The 24651-nt window shown below is 44.9% G+C and overlaps 3 annotated features.

Annotated features, from left to right (window-relative positions):
• Positions 16846 to 17461: an enhancer, noted in NCBI's record as "H3K4me1 hESC enhancer chr13:27359105-27359720 (GRCh37/hg19 assembly coordinates)". NCBI's record gives its function as "activates a minimal SCP1, AML or CMV promoter by ChIP-STARR-seq in naive H9 embryonic stem cells {active_cell/tissue: H9 hESC(naive)}" and the evidence as "EXISTENCE:reporter gene assay evidence [ECO:0000049][PMID:30033119]".
• Positions 17244 to 17293: an enhancer, noted in NCBI's record as "active region_7494". NCBI's record gives its function as "activates an Ori minimal core promoter by ATAC-STARR-seq in GM12878 lymphoblastoid cells {active_cell/tissue: GM12878}" and the evidence as "EXISTENCE:reporter gene assay evidence [ECO:0000049][PMID:35858748]".
• Positions 17994 to 18043: a silencer, noted in NCBI's record as "silent region_5190". NCBI's record gives its function as "represses an Ori minimal core promoter by ATAC-STARR-seq in GM12878 lymphoblastoid cells {active_cell/tissue: GM12878}" and the evidence as "EXISTENCE:reporter gene assay evidence [ECO:0000049][PMID:35858748]".

The following is a 24651-nucleotide window of genomic DNA, read 5'->3' on the forward strand; positions in this document are numbered from 1 at the left end:
AAAAGGGAGTGTTCACCTGGAGTTTCAATCAGGTTGTAAAAAGAAGAGATTGTTCTTGCCTGGCCTTGTAATAAAGACTATTAACCCTGATTTGGGCAGTGTCGCTCAGATCGGTAGTGCACTGCCAGCTCAGGGTTGGAATGCACTGTGGCCAGGGATGCTAGGAAGTTATCTTCTCAGGTCTTGACACCCTCGCTGTGTCTGGGCAAGAACTAGAGGAGAGGAGCCAGTGATCAGGTATGGTATTGATTTTGTGAATCACTAATGACTTGGGAGCACTGTTTGTGCAACCAAAATGCTTTATACTTGAGTTGAAGAGTTAAACGTCTGCAGGCCAGCTTGACAACACATGCTTTCTCTGCAAAGGAGCAATCCTGGGAGATCTATCACTTAATGCACTGTGAATCATGTGTTTGCAATCTCTCTCTTTTCTTGTGACCTACATTTAATGGTACCTGATGTACTATGCTGTGTGGTTTGAAGGAAATGTGTACTGTGAGCAAAGCCACAGCCTTTTCTTCTGATGGGATTTTTAGATTCTATTGCCCTCCTGCTGGATGTGCCTTCTTGAAAAGAGAAAATGGAAGGATAGTCCAAGGGTGGCTAGAAGCAGGGAAGTAGAGTATTTTGCTGATGTGCTACTTTGCTTCTAAATTTTCTTTTACTATATTAGGAGACTTAGGCGGCCAATTATAATCAATAAATTTTAACCAAAACATGATGGTTCAGCATGTCCACATTCTGTAGCTCTTGAAATACTGGCTTGAAATGTTGCTGAATGAAATGGGAGAGGAAGGAATGGCAAGGTCCCAGGGTGTGGGTGCAAGGCCCTGCCCTGGCTTGTGAAGGACGCACCTCCTCTTCACTTCTACTCAACTCCTTTAGCCACACACAGAGGTTGGGGACACTATATTTACGCCCAAAGTTCTGCAAGGTATGTACCCAGAGTGTGATAATGTGTGATGAGAAGAGCTCTACCATGGTCTTGCTCACAGTGAAGAATTGTTAGTTCTCTGTTCTGTCTCCAGATGTTGCCTACCCAGGCCAGGGTCATATGTGGCTAAGTGATTAGCACATATTTTGGTTGGTAATAAAGATGACCCATCTATCCCAACTTTTCATCATTCTACATTTGATTCTACATGCTACACTTGAGGCTTGCACATAACTGAGTTTACAATGATCATGTAAGACCAGTGGTACCTTGATGTTTGGATTTCATGCATTGGTAAATTTCACCAACAGCAGCAAGTACAAAAAGGAGAGACCAACATGGAGTTGCCAAATTTATATTTTGCTGAACACACTCACTTAAATGAGCACACTTCTAGCTACTTTCATTATCATTTCACAGTAAAGACCTTTTTAGCGCGCACACACACACACACACAGACATATCTCACACAAAAGGAGAGTGCTTACGTTAAACACAACTTGTTTTGTAAAAACTCACTGTATTGTTCTGATTATTCTCATTACCCCCATATGGGTGAAAACTGCCATGGCTCAGATTAGTCCGGGGAATGGCTCTTGAGAACCACTGATGGCTGTGATGATGCACCTTTTGTATCCACTCAAAGGGATCATAGAAAACAGTTAATACTTTTTGTCAAATCAATAGGGAAAATGCACAGGCAAAATTGCAGATTATAAGCAGTTGTTTTCTTATGAACTCATGAGCATTCCTCACCTCTCTGAATCGATAGCCAGTGTTTATGGAGCACCTAATGTGTGCTGAGCCCTGCGCAACAAACTCAACCCTTTATGGGAATTAGAAAATACTCATGCCGCCAAAAGCATGTTGGGATGTTGTTGCTGGGGGAAATGGCTGGCCAACTGCCTCCCAAGAAGCCTCAGGAGGCGACATTCATTTCTCTTGGTTTAGGCCCTCACCTTCAACATTACACACTCAAAGACGTCATTTATGTCAGCACATTATGAGTGGCTTATGTTTGAAGGGAAGATTCACATTAACCCAATTATTATATAATAAATATTTACTGTCTTGGGAGCCAGATATGAGCAGACCTATGTGGCCTTGAGCAAGTAAACAACTCGCTTCAGTTCTCTCATTTGTAAAATGAGAATATTAACAGCACTTACTGCCTAGGGCTAGTGCTGCATTATATGGGCTAAGGCACACAGTATACTCATCCCAGCCCGGCACAAAGCTAAGGCTCAGTAAACAATTGTGATGACTGTTCTTGTCACTATCTCTAGTGCATTATCTCCTGTCTCCCTGTGCAAGTGAAGACCCACGTGAATCCCTTTCTTTCTGCTGTACTGGCCAAGTACTTGGCATTCTCCTTGGAGTCACTGCTCACAAAACATCCAAGCTGTCAGGAAATCCTGTCAACTCTCCCCTCAAAATACATCCAGAATCCAAATTCGCCAAAACGTGGGAGCAACCAAGATGTCCTTCAGTAGGTGACTGGATAAACAAACTGTGGTCCATTCAGACAGTGGAATATTATTCAACACTAAAAAGAAATAAACTGTCAAGCCATGAAAAGACACAGAAGAAACTTAAATGCACATTGCTGAGTAAAATAAACCAATCTGAACAGGCTACATCCTGTACAGTTCCAACCCTAGGAACATTCTGGAAAAGGCAGTGGAGACAGTTACTCTAAGGTAAAGATCAGTGGTTGCCTGGGGTTAGGGTGGAGGGAGGGAAGAATAGGTGGAGCACAGAGGATTTCAGGGCAGTGAAACTATTCTGTATGGTATTACAATGGTAAGTCCATGTGATTATACACTAGTCCAAACCCACAGAATGTACAAAACCAAGAGTAAACCCTAATGTCAACTACGGACTTTGGGTGATGACGACGTGTCAACGTAAGTTCATCAGTTGTAAAAAACACACCACCCTATGAAGGATGTGGATAATGGGGGAGGCTATGTGTGTGGGTGGGGGTGGGGGGTGTGGGGGGGCGGTTATATGGGAACTCTCTGTACTTTCTGCTCAATTTTTCTATGAACCTAAAACTGCTCTAAAAAATAAAGTCAATTTTAAAAATAACTAGTAGAGGAACACTGTAGAAAATAAATTCCAATAATGAATCAACCACAAAGTGATCACATAAAAAATATTTAAAATGAAAAAAAAATAGCCCCACAATCCCACCTCATCCACTGCAACCATCTTGGTCCAAATGAGTGTCACTGCTCACCTGGGTAACCCCAAGAGCTCCCCTCCCCTGCTGGCTTCCTCCAGCTGCTTAATGCTCCTCAGTCAGATAATGTTTTCCCTTGGCCAAAACTCTCCAATGAGATCCTGTCTCCCTGAAAGTGAAGCTGAAATCCCCTGCCCTTCCTGGTCACCTGGGCCTCCTGCTCCTCCACCTCTACCCCTCCTGTCCCTTTTCCTCTCAGCACCCTGGTTGTTGCTCCACCCGGAAGGCTCTTCCCCTGCGTGTCTCACGACTGGCTCCTGCCTCCCCTGGGTCTTTCCTCAAACTTCCCACTTTCAGTGGGTCCTGCCTCAGCCACCTTGTCTAACTTGCATACCCCAACACACATGAGTCCTCTTTGCAGCTTTATTTTTCTCTTTAGCACTTATCACCATTGATGTATGCGCTATTTTATTTCTTTCTCGTGTTGTCTCCTCTCCACTTTTCCACCAGGATACAAGCTTGACAAAGGCTGGGATGTTTGTCTATTTGGTATGTGACTGTAACTCCAAGGCCCTAGAACACTGCCTGGCAGATAGAAGGGCCTTATTTTTGATGAATCGGTCAATGAAATTGGAATAGGGAGCTAGGAAAATCGACTGTTGAGAGGTTGGCCTAAGACAGCGGCAGCACGAGCCTGGTGGCAGGGCGGGCCCTTCCCGGGGCCTGGGAAGCTAAGCATCTGGTGGCCCTGAGAGCCTCTCCCCGGACCAGCTGGGAGGGCCTCTGCTGCGGCGTCCGCCATGCCTGGGAAAGTCATGTCAGAGTTGGACGTGCTAATCTACAGGGCCAGGTTTGAGGCAAGTCCTGCTTGCATCTTTTGTCTTTTTTAAGTGACTTGCCTTAGTGCCAGCAAAGGCACAGATCATGTTAAGAGCTAAATCGTGTCCCCCCTAAATTTATATGCTGAAATTCTAACCCCCAGTACTTCAGAATGGGACTGTACTTGGAGACAGGTTCTTTAAAGAGATGATTAAGTTAAAATGAGGCCATCAGGACTGGGCCTTAATCCAGTATGACTGGTGTCCTTGTAAGAGGAGATCAGGTCACAAACACACACAGGGAAGATGAAGTGAGCATGCAGGGAGAGAGAAGACAGTCACCCGCAAGTCAAAGAGAGTAAAGAGAGTGGCCTCAGAGGAAACCAACCCTGCTGACATCTTGATCCTGGACTTCCAGGCTTCAGAACTGTGAGATGATAACCCTCTGTTTTTTTAGGGCCCCCAGGCAGGGGTATTCTGTTGTGAGTGGGCAGACCACAGTTGTGGCAGGATGTCAAGTTCTTTTGGGAGGGCCTCAGATGGATCCCCAAATTGTGTTTCAAGGGGCTCTGCTGCTCCACAGTTTGACAGCACATGTGGGGAAAGTGTACCTGCTTGGCACCTATGCCTAGCATGTCCCTTCCCTCCCAGGGCATCGCGGCCAATTCCTAGCAGTCAGCCTCCTTTCCGAGGACTTTGCCCGAGGACTTTCTGGCCTAGAGCCTGCTTTGCCACCTGCACTGCAGGTTGGAAGTGCCAGGAAAGTTATACCCCTGGGAGCAGTGGAATTGGTGTATAAATACCCCAGCTTCCTCTCTCCTTTCTGTGTCTCAGTGATAGGGACTAACAAGTCGCCATCATCTTTTCAGAGTGAAGAAGCCACCGCAGGCTGGAGGACATGTCAATTGCTGTGATTGTGCTGCCCACGCAGTTACAGCCAAGCATCCTAGCACTTTGCATTTATAGCCTATTATTGTTTGAAGGTTTCAAACTCAAGGCTACAGTTTATTTCCTGGTGGTTTAACCAAGTCCCTGGTGCATGCTTTACTCTGAATCCTGGCAGGCTTCAGTCCCAGTTACCCACAGAGGGAATGTACTAGGCAGCTCAGGCCGCCATAACAAAACACCACAAACTGGGCGGCTTAAAGAACAGAAATTTATTTTCTCACAGTTCTGGAGGCTGGAAGTCCAGTGCTAAGGTCCTGGCAGGGTTCAGTTCACAGCGAGGACTCTTCTCCTGGCTTGCAGGTGTCTGTCTTCTCCCCAAATCCTCACATGGCCTTACGTCAGTGCCTGAGTGCAGAGAGAGTGAGCTCTCTGTGACTTGTCTCGTAAGAACACTAATCCTATGGGACCAGGACCACACTCATATGACCTCATTTAATTACTGCCATAAAGGACCTATCTCCAAATACAGCCATACTGAGGATTAGGGCTTCAACATGAATTTCAAGGGGATACAAATGTCTAGTGCATAACAGGTAACTTGCTTTACAAACTCTTGCTAATTGCTGCTTTCTCTTTCCTCTCTCACTTCTCCACTCTCTACAAATGTTTCCCGGGAAGACCTCCAAAGTAAATTACTTCCATTGGATCTTTGTTGCTCAGGGTCTGCTTCTTGGGGAACCCAAATGAAGAAAAGCTGAATACTGCATGTCCTCCTAGAAAAATGATAGCACATTCTAGCATACTATAGGTTCCAAGAAGTCCTCCAGAAAGTTTTTTTTTTTTTTTTTTTTTGAGATGGAGTCTCACTCTGTTGCCCAGGCTGGAGTGCAATGGCATGATCTCGGCTCACTGCAACCTCCACCTCCCCGGTTCAAGCAATTCTCCTGCCTCAGCCTTCCGAGTAGCTAGGACTACAGACACGTGCCACCACGCCCAGCTAATTTTTGTATTTTTAGTAGAGACGCATGCATATAATTTATTTGTCTTACAATTATTGCTGGGTGAGGCTGGTGAACCTGGAGGCTGCTGAATTCTTAGGTTGGAGGAATGTGTGTAAGAACAGAGGTTCCAGAGCCGTTAGGATCTGCACTTTGCAATCCTGGGCACCTGCGTTTGTCATTTATCCAAACACACTGGGCTAGATGCTCCTGACACAAAGCCCCAAAGGACTTGATTCCTGCCCTCCTGGGGCTCTTGGGATAGTCAGAGAGAAAAAGGAATAGCAGCAGTTCCAGTAGAGTAGCCCAGGCTATGACCAGTGTCATATGTGATCTGCTACTGGCTCCTGGGACATTAATGATGGAAAAGAGAAGGGGTCATGTCCTACCATGGGCTGAGCCTCCAGATGCTGCAGAGATGCTTAAGCTGGGCCATGGGATGCTGTTTTATTATTCTGTTTTCAGATTTGTTCGTATTTCAGTCAACCACCTCTGTGGACACTAAAAATGTCTCTTTCATTTCCCCTGAGATGAATCAGATTAAATGATGTTGAAATAATATCTTCAGTTCAACACTGAATTGCACATATTCATATTCTGACTATTTAAAAGGATTATTTATAGGCCAATATTCTTCCTATTAAAATTAAGTGGCATGAGATTTGAATTAGCTCAATTGAACTCATATCCTTCGCTAATGTATTTATCCATTACTCAGAGGAGTCTGGTGAAAGGCCATCTTGGTTTCATTCAATAAGACACACTCAGCTCTGCACTCCCTATTGTGGACTTTAAAAGTAGTCCAGGCCTGGAGGAAGTAAAAACTCCCTGTCTCCCACCTTTAGTCTACTTAAGAATAAAAATGATGCTAGTTTCTTAGGGTTTGCTTTTTGAGACTGAATTAATCAACACATTTGAAACCCTTGGAGCAAAGCCTGGCATAGAATAGGTGTCCATGAAGTGCACAATAGCAAGACATTATTAGTTATATCACTCCCAAAAGTCTCCATTTATTCAGGCACAAGGAGTAAATACTAGAGAACTGGACGGGGAACCAATAGACCCAGTTTTGGATTTAGGTCCTAGCTTTGTCTTGGTGACTTAGGCCATGACCTTCTCTGTGGGTCTCAAGTTTCTGATCTATAGAGGCAGCAATATCTTTCCAGGTTGGAAAAAGCACCATGCGTGGCTGATAGTGAATTGATGTGGTTGTGCTGCCTACTGTGATGTGAGCCAGGCTGAGCTCCTTGGTTTTCCAACCCCAGCATTTTCAAGCTTGTTTGATATAGATTAGACTCCAAGCATATAAGCAAAATGAGTTGGCAGGTTTGTATGTCACTGAATATCTTGGATGTCTCAAAGACCAGGGCTCCGTATTGTCTTTTAGTGGCTCAGCCACCAGTTCCTTAGCCACAACCCGTTTATGGTCACCCTACACTAACGTGAGGATTAATCTGAGGTGTGGGTGGTACTTAGAAGCCACCTAATGAGTGTTTTCAAACTGCTGTTGGGACCCCCATTCATGGATCATATCAGTGAGCAAATTTCTTAGAAAATAAAATTAAATTTAAAATGAAAGAATGCATCACAAAGGAGCAAACATTTTTCATGAAACTTATGTTTCAATTCCACATAAACATACAACTATATGTATGAATGCCCTGAGTAGCAAGCAACTCAAATTTGGGGTGTAGTAAAAATCAGTCATACACACAACAATGTTTGGTCAATAATGGACTGCATATAGAAGTTAGTTCTGGCCAGCGCAGTGGCTCACACCTGTAATCCCAGCGCTTTTGGAGGCCAAGGTGGGTGGATCACCTGAAGTCAGGAATTGGAGACCAGCCTGGCCAACATAGTGAAACCTCGTCTCTACTAAAAATATAAAAATTAGCTTGGCGTGGTGGCAGGTGCCTGTAATCCCAGCTACTCCAGAGGCTGAGGCAGGAGAATCGCTTGAATCCGGGAGGCAGAGGTTACAGTGAGCCGAGATCACGCCATTGCACTCCAGCCTGGGGGACAAGAGTGAGACTTCGTCTCAAAAAAAAAAGAAGGTAGTTCCATAAGATTATAATAAAACTCACAAATTCCTACAGCCTGGCACTGTAGCCATTGTAACCAGTACATTACCTTTTCTATGTTTAGATACGTTTAGATACACAAATTACCATTGTGTCACAATTGCCTGAAGTACTCAGTATAGTACCATGCTGGACAGGTTCGTAGCCTAGAAGCAACAGGCTGCCTTCTTCTTGCTCTCTCTTGTCCTCCTGCCTCCCACCACAGGATGATGCAGCAAGAAGTTCCTCACTAGGTGCTGACTCCTTGATCTTGGATCTCTCAGCCTCCCAAACTGTGGGAAATAAATTTCTGTTCTTTACAAATTACCCAGTCTGTGGTATCATGTTATAGTGGCATGAAACGGACTAAGATACCATTTTAGAAAAATTTATTGTGAGGGTTGAAATCAAAGGAGTTTTCTACTGAATCTTTCATCAGTTTAAAGAAATTCACTGAGTAACCTCATCTGTGAATTTTAGATGGCTATAGATCTTCACAGCCTCCTGCCCTCATTTCTCACCCCATCCTACCACCATTGTGCTGGGCACACATCCAGAAAATAGAGTATATTGGGCCATTTTTTTGCATTGCTATAAAGGAATATCTGAGACTGGATAATTTTTTTTATTATACTTTAAGTTCTGGGATACATGTGCAGAACGTTCAGGTTTGTTACACAGGTATACACGTGCTGTGGTGGTTTGCTGCCCCCACCAACCCATCATGTACATTAGATATTTTTCCTCATGCTATCCCTCCTCTAGCCCCCCACCCTTCGACAGGCCCTGGTGTGTGATGTTCCCTTCCCTGTGTCCATGTGTCCTTATGGTTCAACTCCCACTTATGAGCGAGAACATGTGGTGTTTGGTTTTCTGTTCTTGTGTCAGTTTCCTGAGAATGATGGTTTCCAGCTTCATCCATGTCCCTGCAAAGGACATGAACTCATCCTTTTTTATGGCTGCATAGTATTCCATGGTGTATATGTGCCACATTTTCTTTATCTGAGACTGGATAATTTATAAAGAAAGAAAGTTTATTTGGCTCATGGTTCTGCAGGCTGTATAGGAAGTGTGGTGTTGGCATCTCCTTCAGGAGAGAAGCTCATCTCCTTCAGAGGGAGCTTCCAATCATGGGTGAAGAGGGAAGGGGAAGAGGGAAGCCAGCACATCACATGGCAAGAGTGGGAGCAAGAGAGAGAGTGGGGATGTCCTACACACTTTTAAACAACTATATCTCGCGAGAACTCACTCACTCTCATGAGGACAGCACCAAGATATTCATATTCATGAGGGATCCACCCCTGTGACTCAAACACCTCCCACCAGGCCCCATCCCCAACGCTGGGGATCACATGTTAGTGTGAGATGTGGGGGAGACAAACATCCAAAATATGTAATAGAGAATACATTTTTGAGGACAACATTTATATAGCTTTTGTTACTCTTGCAGATATCATATAGGGGATTATAGAGTTGCCTTAAAACCGTGATTCCCAACCACGGGTCCCAGCCTCACAGATTTTGATTTTGTGGGGCTGAGGCTCAAACTGGGCCTTGGGATTTTTAGACATCTCCCAGGTGACTCCATGTGTGGCCAATGTTTAGAACCACTTCTATAAAAGGTGAGAAGGGTGTGACAATTGAATCGAACTCAGCAGAGATGCATCTGGAAAACAACTTTGCACACTGTGATGTGTCATCCCTCGGCTTACCTGCATAGCAGATGCAGGTGCTGTTGCAGGCACCACCAAGAGGGCCAAGAAGTCAGACCATACAGACACTTGAGGCAAATTTAATCTTCATGGAATTTAACAATTTGCCAACAGCTGTGAGCAAAGTTCCCTGGTTCATTTGACATAGTGTCTGCTTTTATTTATCAACCAGACAGTTGAGAAAAAAGTCCAAATAAAACCAGTTGCACCTGTTTCTATAAATGATGCAGTGCCCTAGTTTTCCCCGAGCTGAGACTCACTTGATTCCCCCTTTCCAAAGTCATTACTGCTACAAATTTAAAATATGCACAGACAAAAACAAATTGCACAAGACCAAATCGAAGATTTTCTTAGCTGAGGTCATTGATTTCATTATTTTCTCTTGCTTTTTTGTCTTAGGTATATGTTAATGACTTATTCTATTATTTTTGGCTTATGTTGGTACTTGAAGCACAAAGCATTTTTGCAAAACAAGAGCTATCCTTGTGAACATTAGCAGTTTTTTTTGGATTGTGGAAAAATGTACATAACATAAAATTTACCATGTTAACAGTTGTTAAAGGTGCAGCTCAGTGGCATAACTCTGCTCATATTGTTATACAACCATCTCCACCATCCATCCCCAGAACTCTTCACTCACAAGACTGAAACTCTATATCCATTAAACAACTCCCCATTCCCCCTCCCACCAGCCCCTGGCAACCGCCATTCTATTTAATACTTTCTGCCTCTAGGATTTGATTAAATACTTCATGTGAGTGGAATCATGATGTATTTGTCTTTTTGTGTGTGACTGGCTTATTTTACTCAGCATAATGCCCTCGAGGTTCATCCACGTTGTAGCAAATGTCAGAATTTTCTTCCTTTTTCCCCTCCTTTTTTGTAGCAGTTTTTTTTTTTTTTAGCTTTTATTTTCAGTTGTGGCGAAATGCATGTAACAACATTTACCATCTTAACCATATTTAAATGAATGAATTGGACTGGGTAGAGATGCATGTGGAAAATAACTTCGTGCACCGTGATGGGTCACCACTTGGTTTGTAAATTCACATTGTATGTTAAGTACATTCACCTTGTTTTGCAACCATCATTGCCATCCATTTTCAGAACTCTTTTCATCTTACAAAACTAAAACTCTACTCATTAAACAACTCCCTCTTCCTCCTTGCCCCAGACCCTGGCAAACGCCATGCTACTTTCTATCTCTATGGATTTGACTACTCTAGGCACCTCGTATAAGTAGGATCATACAGTATTTGCTTTTTTGTGACTGGTTTACTTCACTTGGCATATATCCTCAAGGTTCATCCATGTTGTCACACGTGTCAGAATTTTCTTCCTTTATAAAGCTGAATAATATTCCATCACCTGTATATACCCCATTTTGCTTATCCATTCATTTGTCAATGGCCACTTGGGTTGCTTCCACCTTTTGGCTATTGTGAATAATGCCATTGTGAGCACCGGTGTGCAAATAACTTTGGCAATTCTCGAGTGAATTGTATGAGGCCTGGAGCATCGACCCACAGCAAAGGCCACCTGAGAGACATGAAGTCAGCAATATGCAGGATGGGTAAAATGACTTCATATCCCTGTTTGAAATGTCTGATTTCATTCTGCTGGACTGTGTTTTGAATATTTTATTTCCTGGCATAAACAGTCATATATAACCGTGGGCTACTTCAGAAATTCATCTGCAAACTAGAAAGCATTTCTTGTGAAGTCTTGTGAGATTGGTTGCTTGGGAACCATTTGATAATCCTCATTCACTGAACCAATGAATAAAGGAAGAGGAAGCTGCTCACTGTCTGGAATGTCTTTTTTAGTGTTCCTCCATCAAACGCTAGAGGCTCTATATTTTTTGTAAATCTCTCAGGTTGCGGAGGCTGCAGAGCTGCGTAAGACACAAAACTGTTTTAAGAAGCCTAAAATCCATCTAGACAACTTTTCTCTGTGCCTGAATGCTCCTGTGCAGGAAAGGGATTGCAGCTACAGGTCTGAGAGTAAAAACTAGTGTGTCAGTTATACCTGAAAGGGGGCTCATGCCTACAATTCCAGCACTTTGGGAGGCCAAGGCAGGTGGATCACTTGAGGTCAGGAGTTTGAGACCAGCCTGGCCAACATAGTGAAACCCAAACTCTACTGAAAATACAAAAATTAGCTGGGCGTGGTGGTACATACCTGTGGTTCCAGCAACTCAGGAGGCTGAGGCAGGAGAATCGCTTGAGTCTGGGAGACAGAGGCTGCAGTGAGTCAAGATCGTGCTACTGCAGCCTGGGCGACAGGGCGAGACTCTGTCTCAAAAAAAGAAGAATGGTAAGATCAGGGAAGAAAAGAGATAAGGCTCCCATGTCAGACCATTACCATGAAAAAAGGAAGGAAGATATATGAAGAAGGAAGAAAGATGTAATAACTGATTTGTAGTATGTAAGTGAGTTAAAGAAATTGGAAATACATACCCACAATCCATTATTTACAATTTCAATGTTCAAAACCTGAGAGGTTTTTTTTTTTCTTTCTTTCTCATTTGGTAGAAAAACCTGACCCAAAATCATGTGAGGTAAATTAAGGTCTTAATTCATTACACTATTCATACCCCTTGCTGCAGAAATGCTAATGAGTTTAATTATGGGGTACTAGTCTCAGACTGGCCCCAAAGGGAGTTATATAAAATATGAAGTTTGTATTATATTAGAAATCTGAAAATTTCTGAAATCAGGAACATATCTGGCCTCAAAGGTTTTGGATAAGGAATTGTGGATCTGCTTAGCATACCTAGGAGGCAGAGAAAAGAGCCTCCAAAAATGACAAGCACAGGAGGAAGCCTGGCTGCTTCCAGTAGACTGTTTTATCTGTGCGGTTCCCTCCTTGGGAAATGAAATAGCATCATGATAATTAGATACGCTTCTGCTCTTGTTTTCTGGATGAAAGGCTTCAAATGTATGTTTTTTTCCTATGGCACCGAGTTCTGAGCAAAGTGTTGGATGAAGTGAATAATCAAGGAAACTGAGCTGGCCTGGAGTTCTGAGTGTGGCCAGCACGGACAAGATGTGCCCCCCACTAGTCACAACACACATGTGTGTGCACACACACATGCACACAGTGCTGATGACTCAAGACCAGCAGAGTCTTTTCCCTGGGGTGGAGAGAGGAAGTGGAAGTGTGGAATTGGAGGGTGGCAGGGAGAAGCAAGACAGGGAAAATGAATCAGTCATTTGGTGGGATACAAAGAAATGAAGACCAATTTATAGAAGGTAAATGTGGAGTAAGACTGCATAAGTGTGTAAGTGTATGTGTGTGTGTGAGAGTGTGTGTGTGTTGGTTGCTTTTTATCCTCAGCCTGCAAGCACAAAGTCAGCATCCCAAGTAAAACTAGGGAGCTGTCCTATATACGCTTCACACACGGGGATTTTAAGACCAGCCCTTTTGCTGTCTACATCAGTCTCCAACAACAAAACGGATGCATCTGTTCTCTCAGAACCTTGGCTAAAGTCTCAAAGCTGAGTGACAAGAACTCTTTAGTCTAAAAGAAGGTTCTGGACTCATCCATGCAGAAGTTGTTAAAATATAGCTAGGTCAGCCCAATAACTTCTCCCTCAGGCTTGATGAGGAGACTAGAGTTTTACTCTGGAGAAGTCTTTGACGGGGATTTGTGGACACAGAGTGCGGTGGCAGTTCTGTTCTATGGCAGGGCAGGGAGGGTGCATCTCCCCACTGACCTTGAGCTGGGCAGAGGAGCCCCAGGAGAGCACTCCACAGACATGGAGCTGCTGTAAGTGCCTCATTTCACCGCCAGCTTGCTGAGCTGTAAGAACAACTCGCAGGCCTGGCCCATGCTGGAAAGGGTATGCTATGCATCCCTTCGAGTTTGGGGGCACACATGAGGAAAGCATCTGGTATCTGTCTCTCTCCTGCATCTTTCTGATGGGGGGTATGGCTGGAGCCAGTTATGGCAGAATGAAGAGAAGTCACTGTGGGACAGGCTGCTCTCACACATTTGGGGTCCCATGGAGGGAAATGAGGCTCACATCCTCTTGGAGGACCCCACCCAAGAGCACTGACTGCTAGGACAAGGGATTTTAGCCCAATGAGCTAAAGGTATATTGCTGAGGTGTAGGTGCTACAGGAGTGGCCAAAATGGAGAAGCCCAAGAATGTAGCTCACAAAAGAGCACCAAAAGAAAAATCAAGGAAGAAAGAATGCATTTGAAAGTCTACCAATGCAGAAGGCAATGGCAGACAAGGGGGAGTATAAACAGCACTGGCTAATCATGAAGGTCCTTTGTCACTATAACCTCCATACTCCTCCCTCCTCCCCCATCTCATCTCAACTTTGAAGGAGACAGAAGTTATAGGAAGGGGATGAAGGTGGATCAAAGAATGTTATAAGTCAAACCAAGCATACCCCTCATTTTCCTAACTCCTGTTCTCCTGAACTGTGGTTGGGTATGAAAAGGAAAGAGAAGAGGTTGCTGATTATTCCTGTTGTTGAGTAGTTGGCTATCAACCTAATTATCTTTCCTGATTGGGATACATTGTGCCTCCTAGATCCATGGATTCACATTGTTCATCCATTCTGGAAAATTATCTCTTTATATACTGCCTTTCCTCCATTCTTTCAATTCTTTCCTTCTGGAACTCTGATTAGATGTATCTTAGATGGTCTCATTCAATATTCCACATCTGTTATCATTTCTTTAATAGTTTCCACATCTTTAACTCTTGGCTATATTCTGGATAATTTCTTTGGTTGCAATTCCTAGTTCACAATTGTCTCTTCAACTGTATCTAATCTGCCATTTGACCCATTCACTGAGTTTTTATTTCAATTAAGATAATTTTGGTGTTGCTTCTAGAATTTAGATTTTTAAAACTCCATCTGATTATTTCTAATCATTTCTTGCTGTTTGATAACCTTTGTGGTTGCATTTCTAATTTCTTTTATCTCTAATATGTGGCTATTCTATATCTTCTATCTGATGATTCCAATGTCTACAGCATTTGGCTATCTAAATCTGTGGTCTGTTGTTTTTGCTAACTCTCTCAGTTACAGTACCTTTCTCTTGGATTGTAAGTGCACTGATCTTAATCTGTGTGAGTATTGTGGGTCTAAACTGCGGTTTCCAGAAGCTCTCCTGCAGAGTATTTGCTTTGACTTTTGCCAGAAGCCTGGGTGCAATCATCAGCTGAAGATTTGTTTAGCCCCTGTTGTGAATTTAGGCTCAGTTTGAGAGTCCCTGACTCCTCTTCTCAGCCCTTTTCTGACTTATCTCCCATACGACTGCTGCTATCAGTGATTGCTGAGAGGGAATCCTTCTCCTTCCTCCTAGCTTCCTGCCACCCTGGCCTGATCCCTTGCCCAGCAAGTGGGTGTTTGCAGAGCAGGGTCAGGGGCCAGGACTAAGAGTAGACAGAGCCTGGGAAACAGGGAGGTCCCTGGTGTAAGGGGGACACTGGTTACATTTTGGGAGTCAGGCTTGAAGAACCAGGAATGCCGAAAGTCAAAATGGCAAAGTTCATAGCCTAAATGGCCAAAGGTCAGGAGTTCAGGGCAGAGATCCCAGAGCATCTGATTTTCAGGCCCATGTTCTTTGCACTTCATGTGCATCCTGTGGTGGAGCTGGCCCTGTGACCATGACCATGAAGGTGCAGAACTGTGCAGATGCAGCTCCTGCCAGAGCAAATGTGCAGGAAGGCTGGGCGCATGATTACTGCCTCTCCAGGACCAGCCCTACACAACCTGCCTCACTCTGGGAGCCCCCAGTACACTGGCCTCACAGGTGTGTGCAATCCCATGAAATGTGCTGTGGAGCTAAGAAGAGCTTCTGTGCCATGTCAGATGGAGCTCCTCTGACACTCAGCAAAACTTGTGCTGGGAAAAGAGTCTCAGGTTGCCCCAGAAGGCTCCAAGGCCTTCAGTTCAATGGCAAGGTGTAGTCTCACCTGGAATTCATTTAATTAATTCCTTGGGGGGAAGCCAAGGATCCCCTCCAGTTTTGGGGTTCCCACAGCTGTTTGTTGAGTGAGGGTCCCACAGGAGCCCATACAAAGCCTGGGCTGAGCTGAGAGGTGACCTCGGTGGTCTTCAGTTGGCTGTGACTCAATCTTACTGTGGAACGTACATTTCCATAGAACTAGGGCAGAAGTCGTTGTCAGAGTCACATAGGTGCCTTGAGGAAGGAGCCAGGACTTGAGACCCTAGGGCTGATGGATTCTCTTTGCTACCTGAAGCACGTACACACCAAGTATGGGCAAGCTTGTCTATGGAATTAAATCTGAATGTTGATGATGAAAGTGAGAATAAAAGCATAATATGAATTTTATGTATTGCTAGGGATTTTTTTTCTCATAAGAAGGAAAACATGAGCATATTCGTAAATATAGTTTTCTTACATCAGGACAGATGGATATGACCATTTGAATAAGATTGGAACCTTAGCTCTTAAAGCAGGGGATCGGCTTTCTGTCTTTAACAAACTCAGATATGCAGAGGCCAGAAAAGTAGGATCATTGTAGTTAAAAACACGAGTCAGCCACTGAAAAGCATCTCTCTAAGCAGTTGGATTTCAGCTGATTTGGTAAATATTAATATAGCCCTGTGTTTCATTTACTCTTGGATGCATAAAGCATCAAGTCTTCTTTTTCTTATGAATACTCTAAATTAATTTCCTGAAGACAATTTTAGAAGCCTTGTTTTAAAACGTTTAGGGAAAAATGTCTACCAAGGTGATTATTCTGCAGAAAGCCATATTCCTTTTGATGTGTATCAAGGCATGTTTAACTTGACTCGGTAAGTAAGCATTGAGCACTCTGGACATGAGAAATACAACAGTGAGCACAATGAAAAGGCCTCCATCCCTGAAAGCTCATCACCTCGTAGGGGAGGTGACAAAAAGTAAATCAACAAACACAACAATTGTGATTGCAGTAAGTTTTGTGAAGGCAATTTTTGTTAGACAAGAAATTCTGTTAGAACAGGAGTTTGATAAAGATTCATGTCTCCTCTGTGGGTGCCACATGCCCACTGTCTGTCCCGGTCAGGAGGGGTGATCTGGTGGCAGGACAGGCTGGTAAGTGCAGTAGAGCCAGGAAGCTGCAATTGAGGAGCTGTGCACTGGAACTGAGGAAGCAAGACAGGAAAAGGAAGCCCACTCCACCCCTAGTCATGGACCTGCCTCTAGTCACGTTACCGTGGAAGTTCCCAGAACACTCTGTGCTTCTCTCCACTTAGCTCCTAGACTTTCCGCTGGCTACTGTACTCTTAGGTTCCAGGACCAAGAAAAGCCTTAGGTTGTCCCACGTGGTACCTTTTATTATTAAGATACAGGAGAGGAAAAAGGAAATGGCAACCCCTATGCAGTGGCCTTGAGTTGGCAGTAGCCTGGTGGTGCTGCAGCTCAGGGGTGTGCAGGCAACGCGGTCACAGCCCCCAAGCAGGAGGTCCCCACTGCATCTGGCTCAGGCTCTATCTCCAGTGTGATTCAGCTACACCACTGCTGCTGCAACCTGACACACCCAATCACTACAGCATTCCTTGTGCCCTGTCCCTTGGTCAACCTCAGTCTCCCTACATCTTATGTTCTCACTCTGATATTTTCTGCCTGCCTGGGCTGCTCCTCGTTTTGTATAGATGATTTGTAACGGACAGAACTTTGCAGCAACTGTTCAACCCTCTGGGTCAGGTGCCCATGGCCGGTGCTACCACCTGCAGTGCCTGTGAAAGGGGAAGTTCCCTTGTTCCCCTCGCAGGGCGTGCGATGGGGGAGTGGCTTGCTTCTTCAGTGCCCCGCTGCTCAAATCTCTAGGGGAGCCTACAGGCGGGCAGGCTGTGGGGCGCCGACCCTACAGCAGTGTCTAGATGAATGTTTACAGCTCCTGAAGCCCCGTGGGCATGTGCTACAGGGTGCTTTCTTAGTTTGCTGTCTATAGGCGCTTATGTTAGCTCCATTAGACCCTCTACCTTGTCGCAAGGACAGAGAGCTTTCTGTATCCCGGGTTCTTGCCTTGGAGTACCAGAAGAATCGGATCACACCTGGGCTTGGAGAATGAGTGCAAGGTTTTGTTGAGTCGAGGTAGCTCTCAGCATATGAGGGAAGTCAGAAGGGGATGGAGCAGGAAGATTTTTCCCTGGAGTCAGGCCACTCAGCGGCTCAGCAGCCTGGGCTCTCCTCAGACTGCCTCAGCCAAACTCTGCATCGTTCTGCTTCTGCCTCAGCCAAACTCTGCATCATTCGGCTTCTACCGGTGGCCTGCCGGCATGCAGGCACTGGAGATCCAGCTGTCTGTGTGTCTGCCTACTAGGGTATCCGGGTTTTTATAGGCACAGGATGGGGGCATGGCATTTGGGCAGGAAATGCCTGTCCTCCCCGACGTCGGTGGGGGTGGAGCCCTAGCCAGGGACCACGCCCTCCTCTACCCAGCACTTCCCTTCCCCGTATCGTTTAAAGGGACCAGCTGTTCCCTTCCCAGCACTTCCCTATCACCTGCAGGCAAATTGGAGAAGAGATTCCCCTCCAGAGCAGATGATTCTAAAAGGGCTTGTCTTTGGGTGGACTAATTCAAAAAGGAGCCCTTTCCCCAGGCTGTGGCACCCCCAGCAAGTACATGCTTTTCGGCAGCTGAACACTGCCTGGATTTCAGACCTCAACTGCCCTCTAGGCCAAGTGTCTTCTTCAAAGCACAACCTGCACATGTAGTAGCCCTGCAGGTGTGAATTCTCGATCCCAGCAGCTTACTCACGGAGGTGGGGTCAGGTGGTACAAACATGCCCTCTGGGTAGGAAGCCATTCAGAAGAAAGCTGGGGCTGGAGTGGACACCCGAGCCTTCCCAGACTGGTCTGTGGGCACTGTCACTACAGGAATTGCCGGACCAATGGAAAAAGGTATTCTTTCATCTTCTCCTGGTGGCATGGACAACCAGGCCTTTGGGTTCTAGAACTGTGGGCTCCCTTGCCCTAGAAGTCATAGGGAGTTGGTCCAAGTAGCAGAGATTTCCACTTTTAAATAGTCAGTGAAGGGCAAGACAAAAAGCCCATGTCTCAGTGAACTGCTGACCAGCAGCCCCTGCTACAGAAAAGAGACTGCATTCACATTTCCAGGTAGCTTGTGTGGGGTTGTTTTAAACAGATAAGAGAATGCCCTCTTTTGGTGGCAATTGTAACATTTTATAGCAACTGAAAAGCTAGAATCTTTGATAGGTGTGATTTACAAGCAATCTATTTTTTGTGGTCAAAAAAAGTTCAAATAAATGTTTCCAGGTGTCAGCGCCTGGTGGTGTGGCTTTGACTTTTAGACAAGAACAGATGGCTGGTATTTTGGGTTATGCAGATCCAAATTCATTTTGGAATCAGGGAGAAGACACAGTTCATACTAAATCTTCTCTGCATGAAAATAGCCTGAAAGCAGAGGAAAAATTCTCTGACATCACTTCCCAATTATTCCTGACTGGGTAAGCACCGGAGTGACCCAAGGAATAGGGGAGGGCTGGGGAGTCACACTGTCAAATAAAGTCTGGCTCCAAGTTGTCACTTGCTCCCAAGGATGAGTAGCCACTTGGAGCCAAATCTGGTTTGGTTTGGAATAAAAAGAAATGGAGCACTTCCTGCTCTGTGTGTTGGGAGTCACACAGCAATTCGTGCCTGTTCCAGCTGCTCCTCCACCACCAGCTCCTGAGTCCAAGTCACTTCGTGTCTTCCCTGAACCACTCCCATAACTGCCTCTGGGGGCCTGCATTCACGAGGTGCCCTCCAGAACATTCTCCACTCTGCATCCAGGGACAGCTTGTGAAGGCAAACATGCTAATTTCACCAGCCCTGTGCTCCTTCCTATTCAAACCCCCTTCTGTGGCTGCCATTGCTCTGTGGCTGCCATTGCTCTGAGAACCCCATTCTAGATACTGGAATCCAGAATGGGGTTCATAGGACACACTAGCTGCATTTTGCTCCACACTCCATCTTGCTCTCGGAACTCTATCCTACTACCTTCTTTCTCCAAAAACACCCAAATCCCTCCCATCTTGAGCATTTGCATGCACCTTCCTTCCCCTGGACTGCCTTCCCCTTCCATCTAATGCACACCCATCCTTAGACCTCCTGTCAGCCCCGACTCCCCAGGGCAGTTTTTCCAGAATCTTCTGATGGGTCAGATCATGTATTTATTTGACATGATTAAATAGATACAGCAATATAGCTCTTTTCAGTATAGATCTTTGTCATGCAGGTGTCACAGTTGTGAGCTTACATTTGTGATATGAATTTTACCAATGCCCTTCCCCACAGTCTGTAGATACCATGTGGGCAGGGTCCTCTGTGAGCATTCGCTCCTTAATTATTTTGCTCACTGCCATATCTTCAATACCGCATGCTGTGGCCAGCATAAGTAGATCTTCCCGTACTGTTGCCACATGAGTGAATCAATGACTATAGAACCATCAAGCATTTGTCAACAGATGGCCCATGAGGACTGCCAAGGAACTTGAGGCAGTCTGAAAACTCTAGGATCCAAACAGTCTGAAAGCATCAAGGCTATGTGATCTCAAAGGGCCTGTTAGGTCATAAAATGGTCTAATTGTATGATAATGAGGGAGGATTTTTAGGCAAATGATGGATGGAAAGGAACAGACTGGAAATGAGCTAATAGAAAGAAAGAAAACAGAAAACATGGCTAAAAGACTTTTTTTCCTTCCCATGCTTTTATGGTGATTTCACCTTATTCATTGCTTCTCACATAGTGACTTCTGCTCACTCCTTTCTGCCTTACTCAGGGGCTGTGTTTTATTTCCCTGTATATGCTGAATGTTCTGAATCATGTGCAGCAAACAGTAGGTACTCAACAAATGCCTGCTGAATAGAAAGATCAATATATCACTTAAACAGATATGAACACAATGACATTATTCTCCAATGTTAAATCAGATTTTATAGTAATAACTGATTGTGGTCATTGGATTATTTTACTGTGGTTTCATTAACTGTTTGGGAATCTGTGTACTGTATTAACCTCCTGACCTGTTTCATGTAACTCAATGGGTGACTTGAAAGGGTTTGTGATAACAGGGCTGGGAAGGTTTCATGCCCTCAATCTGACTATCTCCTTTTGGGCAGGTAGCATGGTTTGCACACCCCTGGGCAGTTGATCTCTTGCACCACCTCTCCTGTCTGCTCCTCCTGGCTCTAGTCACTAGTCCTTCCCTCATCTCTGCTCCTGTCCTGTGTTTGGTAACAGATGCAGCAACCACTGTAGGATAGAAACACATAGCTTTGGAAGCTACCAGCTCTGTTTCTGTAAAAATGTATTTATTTAACCTAAGAGTTTACTCAACTCAGTTTGACCCATTTTGTTCAGAAATATGTCTGTCACTACTTTCTGGATGGTTCTTAAAAAGAGTTTCAGCTAATGCAACCAACTTGTTACCCTGAGACCGAAAGCAGGGGGTCTGAAATTACAAACACTTAGAGTGGATATTTGGTTGGATTTGGGCAGTTGCCAGGGATCGTCTGCTAATTTTCCCTTCCCTAAAGAAGCTGTATCTCCAGGCCTTTGCTCACGCTATTCCTTCTGCTTAGAACACCCTCTCTCTGGCCCTCCTTGCCTCACTAAATTCAGCTCATCCTTGAGTTCTCAGCTTAGACTGCACTTCCCTCTGGAAACCTCCTTGGGCCCTGACACCCTGGGCAAGGGACTGCTCCTCAGAGCTCCCGGCACCTGGTGGGTTCCCTGGAACAGCTTCTAACACACCATATTTACTTATTTCTATTTCCCATTACACCTAAAGCTGAGTGAGCCTGTATCTTAGCTCTTGCCAATTTCCAAGGACCTAAAATAATGCCTGGCACGTAGTAGAGACTTAAATATTTGTTTGCTGCTAGATGAACAGATCCAGGAGTCCTCTCATTTCACTGTGCCTGGGAATAAGTCTCCCTGAGACACAGGGGGACTGACGGAGCTGGGCTTTTCCTTGGGGACCAGAGGTTTAGGACTAACTTGGGACTGAGGGCCGGCCTGGAGCTCTCCCTGCATGTGCACAGTGAGATAGGTTACAAGTGAGCTTTTTTTTTTTTTTTAAATCATTTTCTTTGTTTGTTTGAAATGGAGTCTCACTCTGTTACCCAGGCTGGAGTGCAGTGGCGCAATATCAGCTCACTGCAACCTCTGCCTCCTGCATTCAAGCGATTCTCCTGCCTTAGCTGCCTGAGTAGCTGGAATTACAGGCACCCGCCACCACACCTGGCTAATTTTTGTATTTTTAGTAGAAATGGGGTTTCAGCCTGTTGATCAGGCTGGTCTTGAACTTCTGACCTCAGGTGATCCACCAGCCTTGGCCTCCCAATGTGCTGGGATTACAGACGTTTATCATTTCATTAGATTACAGCCTGTTTATCATTTCATTAGAAACCTCTTTTATAACAATTTTATTTTATTTTGTTATATACCTTAATGACTAAGTGCTTATTCTCATTGATCATAATAAAAATAACAAAAAAGTTTGTGATGAAAAGACAGAAACCATTTAGCTATAAAATATCATATCAATTTGTCTCATATAGCCATATATTAAGAGCATTTTTTGGCCAGGTGCAGTGGCTCACGCCTGTAATCCCAGCACTTTGGGAGGCTGAGGCGGGTGGATCACAAGGTCAGGAATTAGAGACCAGCCTGGCCAATATGGTGAAACCCCTTCTCTACTAAAAATACAAAACTTAGCTGGGTGTGGTGGCATACACCTGTAGTCCCAGCTACTTGGGAGGCTGAGGCAGGAGAATCACTTGAACCTGGGAGGCGGAGGTTGCAGTGAGCCGAGATCTTGCCACTGCACTCCAGGCTGGGCAACAGAGTGACACTCTGTCTCAAAAAAAAAAAGAAGTTAGCATTTTTTATTAAAGGTGACTAGATTCTTTTGAGAAGAAGAATCTCTCTCACAGTTGCCATTTAATTATCTTTCTAGATATAATTTGTACAAAAGTGTGTGGGCGTTTTTTTAAAAAAAGAAAAACGCATTCTATGCACCTTTAATGTTGAAGGAAAACTTATTAACAGTATTACATCATCTTTTTGGTTCATCACAGTCTGCTAATACTTTACAATTCAAATAAATGGCCTGGAGGCTAGATAAGACCATTTTCATAATTTTAAAGGGAAATAAATTTCTGTTCTTCTTATTGTATTTCTAATCAGGCACTCACCTTTCAGAGGATGCCATATCCCAGATTAATTCAGCAAATGGCACTTCTATGTGGAATAATGCATGACTGTGTGCCTTTTGGTTTTCAGGACACAGCGTGTAGAGGGCTTATAACAAAATTCTCACCCTTTTAATATCAAGGGATGGTGAGGGCATGCATTTTTTTCCAGGCAAATTCCATATTGTATATCATTTGTAAAAACATTGACTAACTGCCTCTTTTAAAAATCAGGGAGTGCATTGCACTCAGGCACACAGAAAAGAGGTAGCATCACTTCAGTGAGCAGAACTATCTTATCCGTAAGATTTCCTCCAGCAAGGTAATTCTATTTATTTTACCCCTGAGGAGGGTTGGGATGGTTTTTAATGTAGCAGGTAGAGCTTCGAGGGAAGACAGATTCAAAACTTGCTCCACCAGCCTTGACAGTATCATGAAATACAGGAATGGTGTTTGCACTAACAGAAAGGAGCCTTTGTGTCTTCTTAGTTGCATTTACATTTCAGGTGCGCTGCTGTGTTTGGGCTGCAAGTAATTAACCTCATCGCTCATCAGAGGACATGGACTGAGCACCGGCCTCTGTGTGCGAGGACTGGCAAGGTGCAGAGTTACTGAGATCTGGAAACCCCATCTCCCCTCTCCAGGAAATTACATGCACAGGAATAATACAAAGAAACAAAGGAGGGACTGGAGAACACAAAGCAGCAATGTGGGGAAGGGAGGAGGCAGTGCCCACAGGAAGCCAGGGTGAGGTCCACTCCCTGCTCTCCAGCAGGCCCTCAGTGCCTCTCAGTTCTGATATGCTTTGGCTGTGTCCCCAACCAAATCTCATCGTGAATTGGAGCCCTCATAATTCCCAACTGTTGTGGGAGGGACCAGATGGAGATCATTGAATTATGGGGGTGGTTTTGCCCATACCGGTCTTGTGGTAGTGAATAAGTCTCATGAGATCTGATGGTTTTATAAATGAGAATTTCCCCACACAAGCTCTCTTGCCTGATGCCATGCTTCTTCTTTGCCTTCCACCATAATTGTGAGGCCTCCCCGGCCATGTGGAACTGTGAGTCCATTAAACCTCTTTTTCTTTATAAATTACCCAGTCTCGGGTATGTCTTTATTAGCAGCATGAGAACAGACTAATACAAGCTCCATCCCCAAGCCTGGCCTTCCACGTGCCACCCCTTCCCATTGGAAGAGCTCCCTCATTCTCTGCTGACAAACTCCCACCTGTCTGAAGGTGGCAACAATGGCATCTCCTTCTGAAGAAGCTGGCAACAATGGCATCTCCTTCTGAAGAAGCTGGCAACAATGGCATCTCCTCAGACAGCCCTTCTGGACGACTGCCCCCTCTGCTACCCTGGGTCCCCCTTAGTCTCTCCTGGTATATACCTACCTAACAGAGTTGTTGTCAGACTGAGCAAGCCTAGATGCAGGGAACTCAGGGCAGTGCAGCTACGGTGGATGCCGCCTTCCCTGGAATATCACTCCCACCCTTCAATTCATTCCGCCATTGTTTTCAGTGGTGTCTCCTGCCTCTTATCCTTTCTCACGGAATTCGCTGTGTTGGGATGCCCTCCACTAACCTGGCTGACTTCTTTATCCTTCAAGACCTTTGAGATGCACCTTAAATGCCAGTCCTCTGCGGAAGCTGACCTCAGAGCTCCAGTCTGCATTCCTCCCTGCATGCTGCGTGTACCTCTGTAACAGCACTTAGTTCCCCTTCTCCTGGTGAACTCCAGTATTGCCCATCTTTGCAACCGAAGACCTACCACAGAATAGGCATCTCTGCCTTTTTTTTTTTTTTTTTTTTTTTTTGAGATGGAGTCTTCACTCTGTCGCCCAGGCTGGAGTGCATTGGCGCGATATCGGCTCACTGCAA

The sequence above is a fragment of the Homo sapiens genome, chromosome 13 (assembly GCF_000001405.40).
Source record: "Homo sapiens chromosome 13, GRCh38.p14 Primary Assembly".
NCBI classification, from domain to species: Eukaryota; Metazoa; Chordata; class Mammalia; order Primates; family Hominidae; genus Homo; species Homo sapiens.